Source organism: Homo sapiens, chromosome 9 (genome assembly GCF_000001405.40).
Source record: "Homo sapiens chromosome 9, GRCh38.p14 Primary Assembly".
Lineage (NCBI taxonomy): Eukaryota > Metazoa > Chordata > Mammalia > Primates > Hominidae > Homo > Homo sapiens.
In genome coordinates this window covers 101,065,234-101,080,276 of record NC_000009.12, presented here as the reverse complement: position 1 = coordinate 101,080,276, position 15,043 = coordinate 101,065,234, and the positions used below count along the sequence as shown (strand labels likewise).

Below are 15,043 nucleotides of genomic sequence, written 5' to 3'. Positions count from 1 at the left end.
AGCCACTGCACCCAGCCATATCAGAAGTTCTGTAAGAAAAGAGTCCATCCAATCACCCTACAGTAAAGGCCAGAGTCAACAAATCTCTCCATAGTATGCAGAGATTCTAAATATGTTCACATTTCAAAAATCGAATCATCAGATAGAACAGAGAAAACAGAAGAGAGGAACTGTCAGTGAAAAAAAACTCAAGGAAATTTTCTACACATGGAAGATATAAATCTTAGATTTAAAGCTCTGACTAGCCTAATGGCCCAGTGTAATGGGTAAAATAGATTCCTATTAAGACATTGTATGAAATTTCACAGTAAAATTTCAGAATTTTAGGGAGAATTAAAAGATGCCAGAAACTTCCAGAATGAGAAAAAAATAGGCTTTCCTATAAAGAATGGAGAGTCTAGGCTGGGCGTGGTGGCTCATGCCTGTAATCCCAGCACTTGGGAGGCTGAGGCAGGTGGATCACGAGGTCAGGAGTTCAAGACTAGCCTGACCAACATGGTGAAACCAAGCCTCTACTAAAAATACAAAAATTAGCCAGGTGTTGTGGCGCACACCTGTAATCCCAGCTACTCAGGAGGCTGAGGCAGGAGAATCGCGTGAACCTGGGAGACAGAGGTTGCAGTGAGCCAAGATCGTGCCACTGCACTCCAGCCTGGGCGAAAGAGCTAGACTCTGTCTCAAAAAAAAAAAAAAGGCAATCAAAATGAAAAGATAATAGAGCAATACCTTCAAGATGTGAAGGAAATAGTGAGTTTTGATCTAGAAGCCCTTACATGCCCAACTATTATTATTTAGCATGAGGATAAAAGAGAAACAGATTCAGACATGAAAATTCTAAAACAAAACACACAACAACAACAACAAAACCTTCCCTCTTGTGTATCCTTTCTTGGGAAGATACTGAGAGATGTGCTCCAGCAAAACAAAGGAGTAAATTAAGAAAGTAGAAATAATGAATTTCAGGAAACAGAGGATTTTACACAAGAAAGCAGAAAAGAGAATCTCCAGGATGACAGCAAAGGGAGATGGCAGAATAAAATGTATGCAGCCTGCCTAGGAGCTCACCAGACCAGACTGGGCCAGGTCAGAAGTCCATGGGAATGATTTCTACAAGAAGATAACATGAGTGGAAACTGCTGAGAGGAAATTTACTTTAAAACATGGAAAGTAGATGCTTCTAGGGAGGTGAAAGTGGTAGGGAGGATGGCATTTCCTCACCAACATATTAAAATATTTAACTCAATACCATCCACACATATAACTTTAAAAATATTTTTCAAAACACTATTTTTAAATAAAACATACATGAAAGGGTAAGACCCTGACAATCTAGCACATTGTTTAGAGGATGACATTAATTAATCTTTGTGTGTACAAAAGGAGGTCAGAATCAAGCTTGAGGGTGGGGATAGGAAGAGGGCTGAGTTTTTCTGTATGAGAAACTGAGAATACTTTTTTTTCGTACTAAGAAACATACAAGAATTGAGACAGGAGGGAATGAAGATAGAGGAGAGCAAAAAGGAAATAGACTGGAGCAAGTACTAGCAGAAATGGCCAAGAGATTTATTTATTTATTTATTTATTTTGAGATGGAGTCACTCTGTCGCCCAGGCTGGAGTGTAGTGGTACCATCTCAGCTCACTGCAACCTCTACCTCCCAGGTTCAAGTGATTCTCCTGCCTTAGCCCTCTGAGTAGCTGTGATTATAGGAGTATGCCACCATGCCTGGCCAGATTTACTTTAACTTATAGGTCCCAACCTTAAGGCCAATCTCAACATGGAAAAAAATCTAGAAGCACACACAAATTTGATTCCCAAAAAACTGAAAATCTTAACTAGAGATTCTCAAGGAGATCAGGAAGGAAGTTGTATTTTACTTCACACAGAAAGATTTCCTAAAACAACTTTTTAAATATCGTTGTCTGTCCCCAGGGTTTTCTGCATTCTACTCTGAACAGGACCTGCTCACATCTAGCCCTTTTTTGTTGCCAGATCTCAGAACTCAGCCTCACTGACACTTCTCTGACCCTACCTGGAGCCTTTGACTTCCCCCCTCCCCCCTCCCCCTCCCCCTCCCCCTCCCCCCCTCCTCTTCTTCTTCTTCTTCTTCTTCTTCTTCTTCTTCTTCTTCTTCTTCTTCTTCTTCTTCTTCTTCTTCTTCTTCTTCTTCTTCTCCTTCTCCTTCTCCTCCTCCTCCATTCCAGACTCTCTTTTCTTCCAGGTAAAGCCATTTGACTTTCTCCTAGCTCCTCCAGGTCTACTTTTCACCTATCGGCCATTAGCTCATCAAAGGTATGAAAAGGAATGATCATAAACATTTACAAATTCTGTTTCCCCCTCACATATAAAAGTGAAAGGTCTTTCTGCAACTGTAGTGGATAGTGGTACAGAACCCATATCTGCTTCCCCATTCTTCGGGACAAAGGTGCTGGTTTTCACACCTGTGTCCCTTTTGGAAATTGCCCTTTCTAAGGGAGCCGCCTTGCCCAAGGTTAGGCCCCCTACCCAGGTCATATAAGGGGGTTCCTAGATGCAGCTCCCTTGCCTCAATTTGGGATGACTCTGAAGGTCTTTCCCCACTTTGGAGCTCCTCGTGGGATTGTCTAAGGCCTCTGTGGTGATGCACTGCAGTTTCACTCCCTCCTCTGTCCAGTCAGCTTCCTACCCCCTCACAGGTGCTATTCTGAGCACATCCTCCAATAAATTTTCTGCACACTAATCTCTATCTCAGAGAAGCTGACCTAAGACAGTCAGTTACAGGCTTCAGGTAACTTAATTAGCACTATTTGAATGCATAACTATTTGAATGCATAACATACCCACTAATGTGGCTGCATATGTCTAGAATACATGAAAAAAAAGAAAACAAAGAAAACAAAGGCAGCAAAGTTTCAAGTAATACACAAATGGTTAAGCCAGTCGGCTGGAGAAACGGGGTGGCTGGTAGAAAAGAGAATATATGGGAAGGAATGAAAACTCAGGGTTTGTCTTGGAGAATTGCCTCTGGCCATTCCTAGGAATCCTGTCTAGTCCTAAGAAGAGATAGGGGCATAAGCAGGAATAAAAAGAGTGGCTTTTTCTCAAAAGATCTGTGAGATGTGAAGAAGCAGAGGCAGCATTTATTTGGGTTTAGTCTGTCTAACTTTGGCATCAATGGGGTGTGAGGGATTTGCCCCTTCAGCAAAGCAGCCATAGCACTAGTCCACTGGGATGCTACCACAGTGCCACAAGGACATATGACAAGAGGTAACACCTCCAGTAATGGGAGGTGGCACAGGTCTACCTGTGATAGTTGTGGCACAGACAAAATACCCTCATATAACTTTATCAGGTATATCATAGGAAAAGAGGGAAGTAGGGAAGAAGCCGAGGAAATGGCAAATGTGAGTAGTGGAAGAAGACTTGTTCTAGAACATTCTTGAATCATCCCTTGAAGACTCAATAAATATCCAGAGGAATTTTATAGTAGGAAGGTTAAGTTTCCACTTTAGAAATATGTCTTACACATACACACAATACCAAAAATGAGCTGATATCCAGAGTAAAATAGACAACTAATATTAATTAATAACTCTCCTAATTATATTCCATTGCTAAAGTCAATTGTTTATTTCAACTAGAAAATCTGCCTTATTTAAGACATTAGTACTCAAAGACAATTGATAATGGGTTTGCATTTCCACAAGTGTATTTGAATTTCAGTTATCTGACATCTCACAGTAGGGAATTGCTATTTGCATTTTCAGGTACAGACATCTGGGATTCAAACATGAGACTGAACACAATTATCCTTCACAATAAAAGCAAATAGAGCTCAGCATGAATTTGCTAATTGTTCTTTCCCGCTGAGCCACAATTTTTAGTCAGAACATATACATAAAAGAGTAAGTACCAATATGCCCATTCTTCTCACAAAGGCCAAAGTTATCTTCTCAAAGGCAGAGTCACATTATTTCAGTCTTTTGCTTGAAAGCTTCCAATAGAGACTAAAACTCAAATTCCTTATCATGGCAAACAAGGCTCTAGATCAGCAGATCCAAGCTTAAGCATGCATCAGAGTGACCTGGAAGGTTGGTTAGAACACGGATGGCTGGGCCCCACCCCAGAGTGTCTGATTCAGGAGGTCTGGGGTGGGCCTGGAGAATTTGCATTACTCACGAATTCCCAGATGATATTGATGCTGCTGGTCCAGTGACTGCACTTTGAGAACCACTGCTGTACCTGCTCAAGTCCCTGTCCAATCTCCAGCTTCATCTGACACTCTCCCGCGTGCCCCTTCTGTGTCACTGGCCTTCTTTCTGACCCTCAACACCTCATGCTTGTTCCAGTTTCAGGGTCTTTGCACTGATTGTTCCCTCTGACTAAACTTGTTCTCACTTTGCTCTTCACCTTCTCTGAAGGGCCTTCTTACCCTATCCCCCAGCTAAAGGAAATCCTCATCCAACCACTCTCCATCTACACCACTGTCCTATTTTATTTTCTATCCCTGGCACTCATCTCTATCTGAAGGTACGCTATCATTAATTGCTTATATGCTTATTATCTGCCTTCTCTACACAGAGAAAGCTCCAAGTAGGCAAGGAATTCCTCTGGCTGTTTATCTGTAGCACTAGGGGATAAATGATAAATAATTTTTGAATAAACAAATAAATCTGTGGAGGAAACCAGATAGCAGTTTGAGTTTTCTAGTCACAAGAGAGCTTTTTTCACTAGGCACCAAATGACTCTACCTTGATTGGTCTCTTTCTGTTACTCTCATCTGAGAACTGTTTGTGACCTACGTCATCTGTAATTAGAAAATGTATTCCACATGTCATTTGTAATTAGAAAGTTAGACCAGGGCTTATAATTTAGTACAAAGCTGGTGGAATGTTCATTGTGCTAATCAGAGAATGAATATAGTAATATTATGCTTACTCTACCAAAGACAATAAAGCTATTTTATAAAAAGACCAATGGTGTGGTGAACAAATCAAACATATTTTAAAATGAAGCAGAATTCAAATTTATTTTGATGTGAGGCTATTATCTGTGATCTCAGGCATATGACTCTTAACAAGTCACCAAACTGAAAATCCATACAAGGAAATGCTTATTTACAATACTTGAAAAATTCAGTTTTCAACCCAAACAAAAATATAAAAGATATACTTCTCTTAAACACTGGATTATTTAAGAATTTTATCTGTTCTCCAGCTCTTAACATAAACCTTAATTTTTATAGCACTAATTTGAGCAGTTTCCCGCAACTGTTGTCCATGAAAATTTATTTTTAGGAGATGCTTAATGTTTGGTTCAAATTCTGTGGCTCACAGTAAGTGATCTCCCTTAATTTCTTTTGCTTGGGAAGGAAAGTAAAACACTGCACTTTAGAATCAGATCCTGCTGGGGGTTGTTTTAATGACACTTCATAAACTTGTATCTGTAGTTCTTCCTTTTGTTATCATTGCACCAAACATGTTTCTATTATTTGAAATTATTTTTCTGGGTAACCACTTGATAATTAGTGCAATACTTAGCTCATCCAGTATACAAACATACTCATACACCATTCTCTCGGTGTTCTGTTAAACCTGGCAGAAAACCTACCACATAGTGATGCTCAGTGGGTAATAAATGAATGAATGACCAACATAGCAACCAAAGAGAACAGGAGCACAAAGTCATAGTTAGAGAAAGGATAGTTGGAGGAAGGAAACCTGTTTCTCCTATGCCTTGCACTGCCCCATTTTCTCAGAGAAATGTTTTACTTAAGAATGGACAGAGCCTTGATGCTTATTCAAAGGGAAGAATATTTGTGGACCTGTTGCTGCAAATGGGTTATCATGTAATGTGGCAAAACAAGTCACTAATTAGCTGGGTCATGTTGGGTAAGCTGCTTTACCTCTATGAACCTCACTTTTTCTTTTAGGGAAAAATTGGTGAGTTTAAATGATTTATGAGAGCCAAAATTCCATGCTTATCTATTAGATCTATTTCTAATAACTGAGGAAAAATGCTACATCCCAATGTCATACTTGATTTTGTGATAGCTAATCACCTAAACTGAAATATATATAGCATTCACAAACCATCAATTTAATGTATTGCATGTTATTGATCCACAAAGACACTGGATGCCATGTTCACTTTTCCTGATGCATCGGTATACCCCCTAGGACTTCACAATTGAATTCAGAATTGAAACCTCGGAGCCATAGTTTTTTACTATGGCAAGGCCTGAGTCATACTTTGTTTCATGCGCTTTCCTGGCTTCATTTCTTTGGGACAGGAATTATATAGAATATCCTGGCATCCTTGCCTTTCTCATTTTGTGATTTTTATGGTATATGTGCTTGGAATATCATCACATGATAATAGGATATTAATATTCATGGCTTCATCTTCTTCTGTCTCCATAAAACAGATTCATATAGATTAGCACTGGCTGCTTCAGTGCAGATACGCAAACATGAGCCAAGGCATGGAAATCCGTGTAAGGAACAACTTAACTTAGAGTAAGTGAAATAGATCGATCTACTTTTATTTTTCTAGCTGAACACATTGTAAAAATTAAGCAAAACAAAAGTCAAGTGTGACAAGGATTTTAACCAGAGAATATAGTAGATTGCCATCATCAAAGCCCATACGAAAAGACAAGCCTAATCTTACTGAGCTTATCTAGGTATTCAGCAATGACCAACCCCAAGAAACCCACTGTTCTACAATCAATTTCTCCACCAAGGGAACTTATTCAAGCTAATGAACTGAGGGAAGACATAGGACTGCAAACAACGTCTGAGCTTTTTTTTTTAGCATAAAATTAAATGATCTAGGTTGCATACAAACCAATAGGATGGTTCACTTTTAATGAAACATGTAAATTCTCCTTTACATGTAGCCCTGAAAAGTTGCCAATTGAAGAGAGTCTTTTCCCTGATTAGCGGCCCTTTGCATAACACCCCTCACTATATAGTCATTGAAACAAAACACATGCTGTGCACAGCTGCCTCAATTTGTGCAATAGATTGGCTGCAAAACAAATTTCAACCCAGAATCCTGTATTGGTGAGCTACAATTCAGTTGGAAGTTCCTTTGAGAAATAACACAGCAAAAATTAGAGTTTTAAAGTATCACCATGCTATACAAACATGCCATGATTTATTACTTTGTGCTCAGATCATCTAACCCAGACCCATTCCTCTCCAATTGTCTTTGTTTTATCTGCATAATAATAGTAGCTACCTTTGATTTTCTGCATTTGTCAGGGTAGTTATATGAGTTTGTGTATTCTCACCCTACTTGGTTAAACCAGTTAAGAATTCCTAAACATCACAAATCTGGACACATGCTTTCTTAAAGTTTTCATGAATAGCAACCATGAATGGTGAAATTATTTTCTTTAATACAACATGCGAGAATAAAAAGCTTTCATATGGATGCAAGAACTTCTAAACTTCTCTGTGAATCTTCTCCTGAGTTGCTACAATATTTTCCTTTGTTTTCTTCTGAACTACAAAGCCCATAATGACAATCTAAGATCTGGGAAATATTAACATATGTTTTCCATGGCATATGATGTAAATATCATTTCCTTGGCAGCAATTTTATTTGAAAAATGTATTATTTGCCTACCCTACATCCCATGCCCAATCAATAGCAATTTTACTGCCAATTCCACTTGCCCAGCATCTACTGAATGCATCTTTTCCTCTCTATTCCCTCAGTTAATCTTTCTCTCTCAACTTCATTACTTGTGGCACAGCGTGATTTGTTATACACCAAATCAGTTCCCTTCTCTTCCTGGGCACACAGCTAGACTACACGTCCCAGCCTTCCTTGCAGTTAGCTGAAGCCACATGATTTGGTTCTGGCTATAATGGAATGCATGCAGAAGTGTTATATGCTCTTTCTGGATGGTCCATAGAATCCTTTTGAGAATACCTTCCTTTCTCTTTTCCAAATTGTGAGCTGGATGGAGGAGAGACTCCAAAGACCTAGAGGAGGGCTAAGCCGCAACACATAAGGAAGACCAGGGCTTGAGTCACAATTTGGAGGAGAGCTGTCTGTACAAATGAGCCACCCAACCAGAAACATCTGCAGTGGATTTGCAAAAATGAGAGGCAAACATTTACAGTATTGACGCTAGACTGTAGGGATATCTGACACAGTAAATAGGCTATCTAACTAATACACTACTAAAATAGCCTCATCTCCCAGCTTCTTCTCTCTCTATCCCATTGTCCATACTGAAATCATGTGTATCTTCTCCAAACACCACGTTCCAACTATTACCCCCATTCAAAAATGATTCATAGATACACTGAATAGACAGTTGCTGTATTTCTATTCTGTTCCAAGCTAACCTCTTACAGAATCTCACAGTTGAAATTCCTTCACCTGGCTTTCTACGATTTCCATTTGTGTTTACAAGTTTGCCTCTCATTACACACCCTACCCTGGGCTCTATGTTCCTAATTCCTGGCAACCCAAATTATTCACTATTCCTGACATAGTATTTAGATTGTTTGCCTTCATGCTTTTGATTTCCTTTGTTCTGTTTCTAAACTTTATATTTCTTTTTAAGCTCCACTGTAAATGCTATCATTACCAGAAAGCTGCATTCCCCTGAATCCCTAGCTGAAAGTAATCTTGTACTATCTCTGTCTGTCTCTCTCTCTCTCTCTCTCTCCTTCTCACTCCCATTGCTCTCACATGATTTTTTCTGTTTCTCCAAGTTCTGCAAGTGCAAGGAGGATGAATCCACACACCTGTCTCATTCCCCACTGGAGCTGACACTATGTCTGGCACGTAGTGGGTACTTCATTGAATGACTACCACTTACTCGTTGGGGCTTACTATAGTGCCAGAAGGGTAATAGGTCATTGTTTAATGAATGTGAAATCTACATTTCCACCAGGTTACATCAGTCTGCAATTTTTAATACTTCAAAACAGCTTAACTTTTTCCCTCCAAATATCTGTTCTTCCTCAGCACTGCCTACAGATGGCTTTCCATCCTTCTGGTTGCCTAAACCAGAAACCTAGAATGACTCCTCTCTTCCTTACTCCCTGAGCTGTCCCCTGCTGATGCTACTTCCTAAGAAGACCTCAAATGCATGCTATCTTCTTCAGCCACTGCTCTCTTAGGGCAGGCTGACATTGTCACCAAACTGGCCTTACCCTGCGTTTAGTGCAGCCCTCGGCCTCCCCATTCCTGGGTCCACTAGATACACACAGCCAGATGGTCTTTCTAAAATCAAACCTGATCTTGTTCTTCACTCATTTAAACTCCTGAAAAGGCTTTTGACTGATATTTCACAATCCCACTCTAGATAAAGTAAGCATAAACTAACCCAAATTTTTGTAAATTGATTAATTCATTTTAACTCAGCAAATAAATGTGAAGCACCTCTTTGAAGTGTCAGATACTGTTGTTAGTGCTGGAGGATACAATGCAGAACAAAAACAAAATCTGTGCGCTCGTTGAATTTACATTCTAGGGTGGGGATGTGCAGTAAAGAAAGACAAAATAAATACACTATTTAGCATATTAGAAGGTTACAAATGTTGAGGGGAAAAAATGGAGCAAATATTGAAGTCTGAGAGTGCAAGTTTAGAGGAAAGATCATGATTTAAACGAGGAAACCAGGGTAGGCCGTTATTGAGAAGGTATCACTTCGAGTGGAAGATATGAACCAGGCAGACAGAGGAAGTAGCCAGTGCTCAATCCTTAGTCCTAGAAAGAAGCATTTCTCGTCTGTATGAAAAGGTTGATCTAATAATCTGTTGGTAATCTCTGCTTCAGCCACCAAGACCTGCTTCGAGTTCCTTTATGTGCCATTCTTCCTTTTCTGGTTTTTTTGCGATGTTATTCTCATATTCCCTATGATAGGAATATGTCAAAGGAGCCCAGGATCCAACTGAAAGAGTTCCCAATGGCCAAGGCTGGAACAATTTGAGCAAAATATAGTAGTATTGGATTATAACCCAAAGTATATAATAAACATCTACGAGTCCATACTGACATAAATGACTAAGTAAATAAATGAGGGAGAAGAAATGAATCTCCTGTACAGAAGAATTCCAAATAACTTAAATTGATAGTCCCCCTGACCCCATGAAGTCGGAGCATGTCTCCCCATTCCTTAAGTGAGGAATGTGCATAGTGAATTCCTTCCAAAGTACGGAAGGGGGTAGGGACAAAAGTAATTTGCTACAGTGGAGAAATCTGACACACACTATCTCAGCCAGGTGATCAAGGTTAACATCAATAGTTATAAGTCACATTGATAGTATGTACTCTTGATACGATATGGGTAGAACAGCACTATTTTCCTCCCCAAAACCCATAAGCCCTGTTAATCATGAGAAAACATCAGAATTCCCTCTGTTCTTCCCTTCCCACTTTCCCTAAGTCCTCCTAATCCCTTAGGGGTTAGCTGAGCACTGCCTGCCATTCTCTCAAACTGTAGTGTGCATACAAATCACCTGAGGTGAAGCCTGGCAGTCTGCATTTCTGACAAATTTCCAGATGATGCTGATGCTGACAGTTAGGGACGTAAGTGTTGCCAGTCCAGAGGGCTGGTCAGTGGTTCTCAACTTTGAATCATATTGGAACCAACTAGGGAACTTTTAAATACCTGCCTTTCCCACCAACAATACTCCACCCAGATCAGTCAAATCCAAAATTCTGAGAGTGGGATTCAGGTATAAGTTTATTTTCCAGTTTTCCAGGTAATTCCAATGTGCAGGCAGGTTAAGAACCTGTGGAGTGTCCAAGATGCCTTCTAACTCAGAAACGTATCACTGGGATGGCCAGGCCTTTCCAGGGAGGACACCACTGATACTGCTCGGTTATGTCACAACGTTACCATTGTAGACACAGACCTGCAACACAGTGATTCTAATCATGGGCTCTAGAGAGGGGATGTGTAGGTTGAAATCCAGCTCTATTACTTGATCTTGGGAAAGTTGCTTTACCTCTATCAGCCTTAATTTTTTCATCTCTAAAATGAAAATCATTATATCTAACATGTTGGTTGTTGCTCTATTACAGGATTTAAAAAGGTGGTTACGCCCAGCAACTCACAGGTTATCAGGAGCCAGGCTGCTGTAGATTTTAATATGAGTTTTGCAGCATCACAGCTTTTTTTTTTCCTAAACAAATATGCTGGTTTGTTTTCTTGCTTTCCTCCTGAAGAGCATCCATATGGAAAATAACAACAGCCACTAGGGAAGGCTAGATCATCTTAAATGCCACCAGGGGAATTCTTTCCAGTAGTCAATTTCCTCTTCTGTCCTCAGTTCCCAAAGATACCCTAAGCAGAAGTCACTGTTTTGTTTTGTAAAACATTTGCCCTGGATAATGGACAGTAATTCTAAGCAGTCTTTCAGCAGACAGAGCCCTTTTCCTATCCCCTGTCATCCTGTGCATAATAAGCAAAGTTGATATACTACACTCACTAGAAGTAACGTTCTTGTCTGTCTTCATTTGCTAGCAGTGGATTATAGTTTTGATTGCCTTACATGAATCAAACACTCTCTTAGTGGAAGCTGCAACAGCAATGAAATCATTAGATGGTTCCACCTAATTAGTAAGTCTTGAGCACATTTGTCTCTCGGTGTTTGGGGAAGGGATCATAGACTCAGGGAGGCTAGGTTTTAATTTATACTAAGCCTATGGGCACCTTGAAAAATAAGAGCATTTTTCCTACTCTCAGTTCATGAAGTTTCAGCCATACCAAATGTTTCAGCATTAGAGCAATCTCAAATTCTACCCCTTCCCACCCTACCAGGCCTGGTTAGCAAGACTTGAGAAAAAAAATATTGAAAATGTATTCATAAATCCAGGTCTTTCCAAAGCTCTTCAGTGATGAATGAAAACCCTGCTCCCAAATACTGCTTTTTTAAGCCCCTACCGGGACTTGTCTGCTCTGTCCTCTTCCCCTCGGGCTTCCATCAATACACTGGCTATGTCTCTACAGCCATGACTCTACTGACACTGGAGTGTTATCTTTCTTCTCTCCCACATACAAAATTTGAGAAGTATTTTCCCTAGAAATAATTTATAAAGACTGGTTGGATTCAGTAATGTCATTAGTATAATTAATTCAGTTAATATATGTAAGGTCCTAGAATAAGGACTTGTACATGGTATTTGCTCAATAAATGTTTGGCATTAATATAACAATTATTGCCCTTATAATAGTGGATCAACCATATTATTTTCTGAATAGGCTTTTGTGGGCTAATGTGTACTTTAGACACCTTTTAATAATAACTGAGTACCTTCTCAGCATTTAGCATTATGTTAAGCATATGCTTTGCCTCAAATAATTCTCACAACAGCCCTATGAAGAAGGTACTGTTATTCCTCACTTAAACAATAAACAAACTAAAACTCTGGAAGGTTAAGGAAACTACTCAAGGTCATACAGCTCATAAGTGCCAGGCCTAGGATTTAAACACATGGCTTTTCTGTTCTTAAAGCCTGTTCTCTTAGTCACAACACTCAACTCCCTAACAGAACAATGCTTGGTCTACCCTGTCCATCTTTGCTGTTCTCAGCATCCACCTAGAGGAAAGAAAGGAATCTGTTAGTGCCAAAGGGTTTGGAAGTCCAGGGAAGACTTTTTATCTGCACTCCAGACAAAGTTTTGAAAGGTGGATTGTGACCTCTCTCGGCAGAATAAAAAGCATTTGACTTTTCCTCTGTTCTTTCAAGAGTTCTTTCTGGCTTCATGTTACTCATCCTCTAACTTCCTAAGACTCACTCATGCATACCCTCTTATTAAAGTCCTTTAGCTATTAATGAATCATTAATTTCTATTGATTATATATATTTTTTAACCATCCTATTCAATACAATATTCTTGAGGGCAAGAACCATATTTGTTTTACAAAATTCACAGCCCAAGGCCACAAGAGCCAAATGTCTCCTCTGATTGACCGTACTTCCTCAAATCCTATCCTAAAGCAGACCAAGATAATGATGGTGATATTATATGAAGTAATGTTATTTGCTCACTAAATATAGGTCCTGCCTTTGAGTCTTTTTTTTTTGGTGACTTGTACTGAGACAGAAATATTATATTGTTCAGTTACAGTTTGAACCTATAAAATAGTTGACTACCAGCAGGAAAAAAATTTATGACCTCGCAACAGAGTTGAGGCATCATTGCAAATGAACACTGTCCTACCATTACAGAGAACAAAGCTTGAATAGTAGCTTTGCCATTTACTAGCTCTCTATCTCAGGCAAGACATTTAACATATGAGAATTCTCTCATCTGGAACACCATCATGCAGGGTGATAATTTTTTCATCTTGTGTAACTAAAATGTCTAGCTCAGAGTAGCTCTTCAATAAATGGTAGGTAAGTGTTTATAAATGGTAGGCTGGGGAAATTCAATGAACCCACCCCAGGAGCAACAAGCACATCCAGTAGCTAGTTCTTGGTTTCTAATATAATTTTCCAATTAAAGGACCAGGAATCCTTGAAAAAATGGCTGATTCTAGGTCAGGGGAATAAAATATACAAGATGAGTTTGGAACACCTTTTAGTGCCAGAAAGTAAGGAAGTGCCCAAAGAAAATCACTATGATGGGGATATGTCAAAGGAGCCCAGGATCCAACTGAAAGCACTCCCAATGGCCAAGGATGGAACAACTTGAGCAACAAAATATAGTAGTATAGGATTATAACCTAAAGTATATAATAAGCATCCATGAGTCCATACTGACATAAATGATTAAGTAAATAAATGAGGGAGAAGAAATGAATCTCCTGTACAGAAGAATTCCAAATAACTTAAATTGATACTCCCCCACCCCCACCCCATGAAGGTGGAGCATGACTCCCCATTCCTTAAGAGGGGGATGTGCATGGTGAATTCCTTCCAAAGTATGGAAGGGGGTAGGGACAAAAGTAATTTGCTACAGTGGAGAAATCTGACACATACTATCTCAGCCAGGTGATCAAGGTTAACATCAATACTGATAAGTCACATTGATAGTATGTGCTCTTGATATGAGACATGGGTAGAACAGACTATTTTCATCCCCCAAATCCATAAGTCCTGTTACTCATGAGAAAATATCAGACAAACCCAAATTGAAAAACATTATATGAAATATCTGACCAGCATTCCTCAAAACCGTCAAGGTCATCAAAAATAAGGAATATCTGAAAAGCTGTAACAGTCTACAGGAGTCTAGGGAAACATGAGAAGTAAATGCAATGTGGTATCCTGAGTGGGATCCTGGTACAGAAAGCAGACAGATAAAAATTAAGAAAATCTGAATTAAGTGTGGATTTTAGTTAATAAGTGTATCAATATTGGTTCATGAATTGGGACAAAAGTACCATAGTAATGTCAACAATAGGGGAAGTTAGGTGAGGGTTATACAAGTGTTCCCTGTAATAGTCTTGCAACTTTTCTGTAAAAATAAAACTGCTTTGAAATAAAAAGTTTTTTTTAAGTCAATGAATCCTTGCTTAAGGTCACACTTGGAACAGTATATTTCTAACTATAAATAAAGTCTCATAGTAAAAATAATAGTGGGATTATGTTACACATTTGATTAAGGATTTCCTGCGTATTTTGGAACTTGGAGTAATCTAACAGTTTGTGAGTTCTCTAACACAAATTATCCACCTTTTAAACCATCTCATGAGAAGACTTTACTGAGATGGTTACAGAGCAGCATCCCAGAATGCTTGACAATTTCTTCCTACAGAATTGTGACCAGGGTAAAGAATATTTTTGACCCATTTGTTATAAATAAAATGCCTTAATGAAAACAGAGAATTTGTTATGTAGAATATTAAGGCTGGGAAACCAAGACCAATTATTCTGAGAAAAGCTGTTTTCCACAAATGTGCCAGAGAAATGTTAAGAATCAATACAGCCTATTTCCAAAGGTTTGAAAGGAAGTGAGTGCTCGATTCAATGTCAGGGTTCTCATAATATGACATCTACAATACCCTGCAGAGGAGGCATTTTTCAAATAAGAAGTTCTGAATACATACATACCTCAGCTACTTAAAGAGCGTTCTGTGCA

General features: G+C 39.1%; 1 protein-coding gene across 1 annotated transcript in view, besides 1 other annotated feature; it reads right to left on the bottom strand.

Annotated features, from left to right (window-relative positions):
- The window catches only part of PLPPR1 (phospholipid phosphatase related 1), a 296,409-nt gene that overhangs the window by 244,859 nt on the left and 36,507 nt on the right, over positions 1-15,043 (bottom strand). The window lies entirely within an intron of this gene.
- Positions 6,675-7,227: an enhancer, noted in NCBI's record as "OCT4-NANOG hESC enhancer chr9:103835332-103835884 (GRCh37/hg19 assembly coordinates)". NCBI's record gives its function as "activates a minimal SCP1, AML or CMV promoter by ChIP-STARR-seq in naive H9 embryonic stem cells {active_cell/tissue: H9 hESC(naive)}" and the evidence as "EXISTENCE:reporter gene assay evidence [ECO:0000049][PMID:30033119]".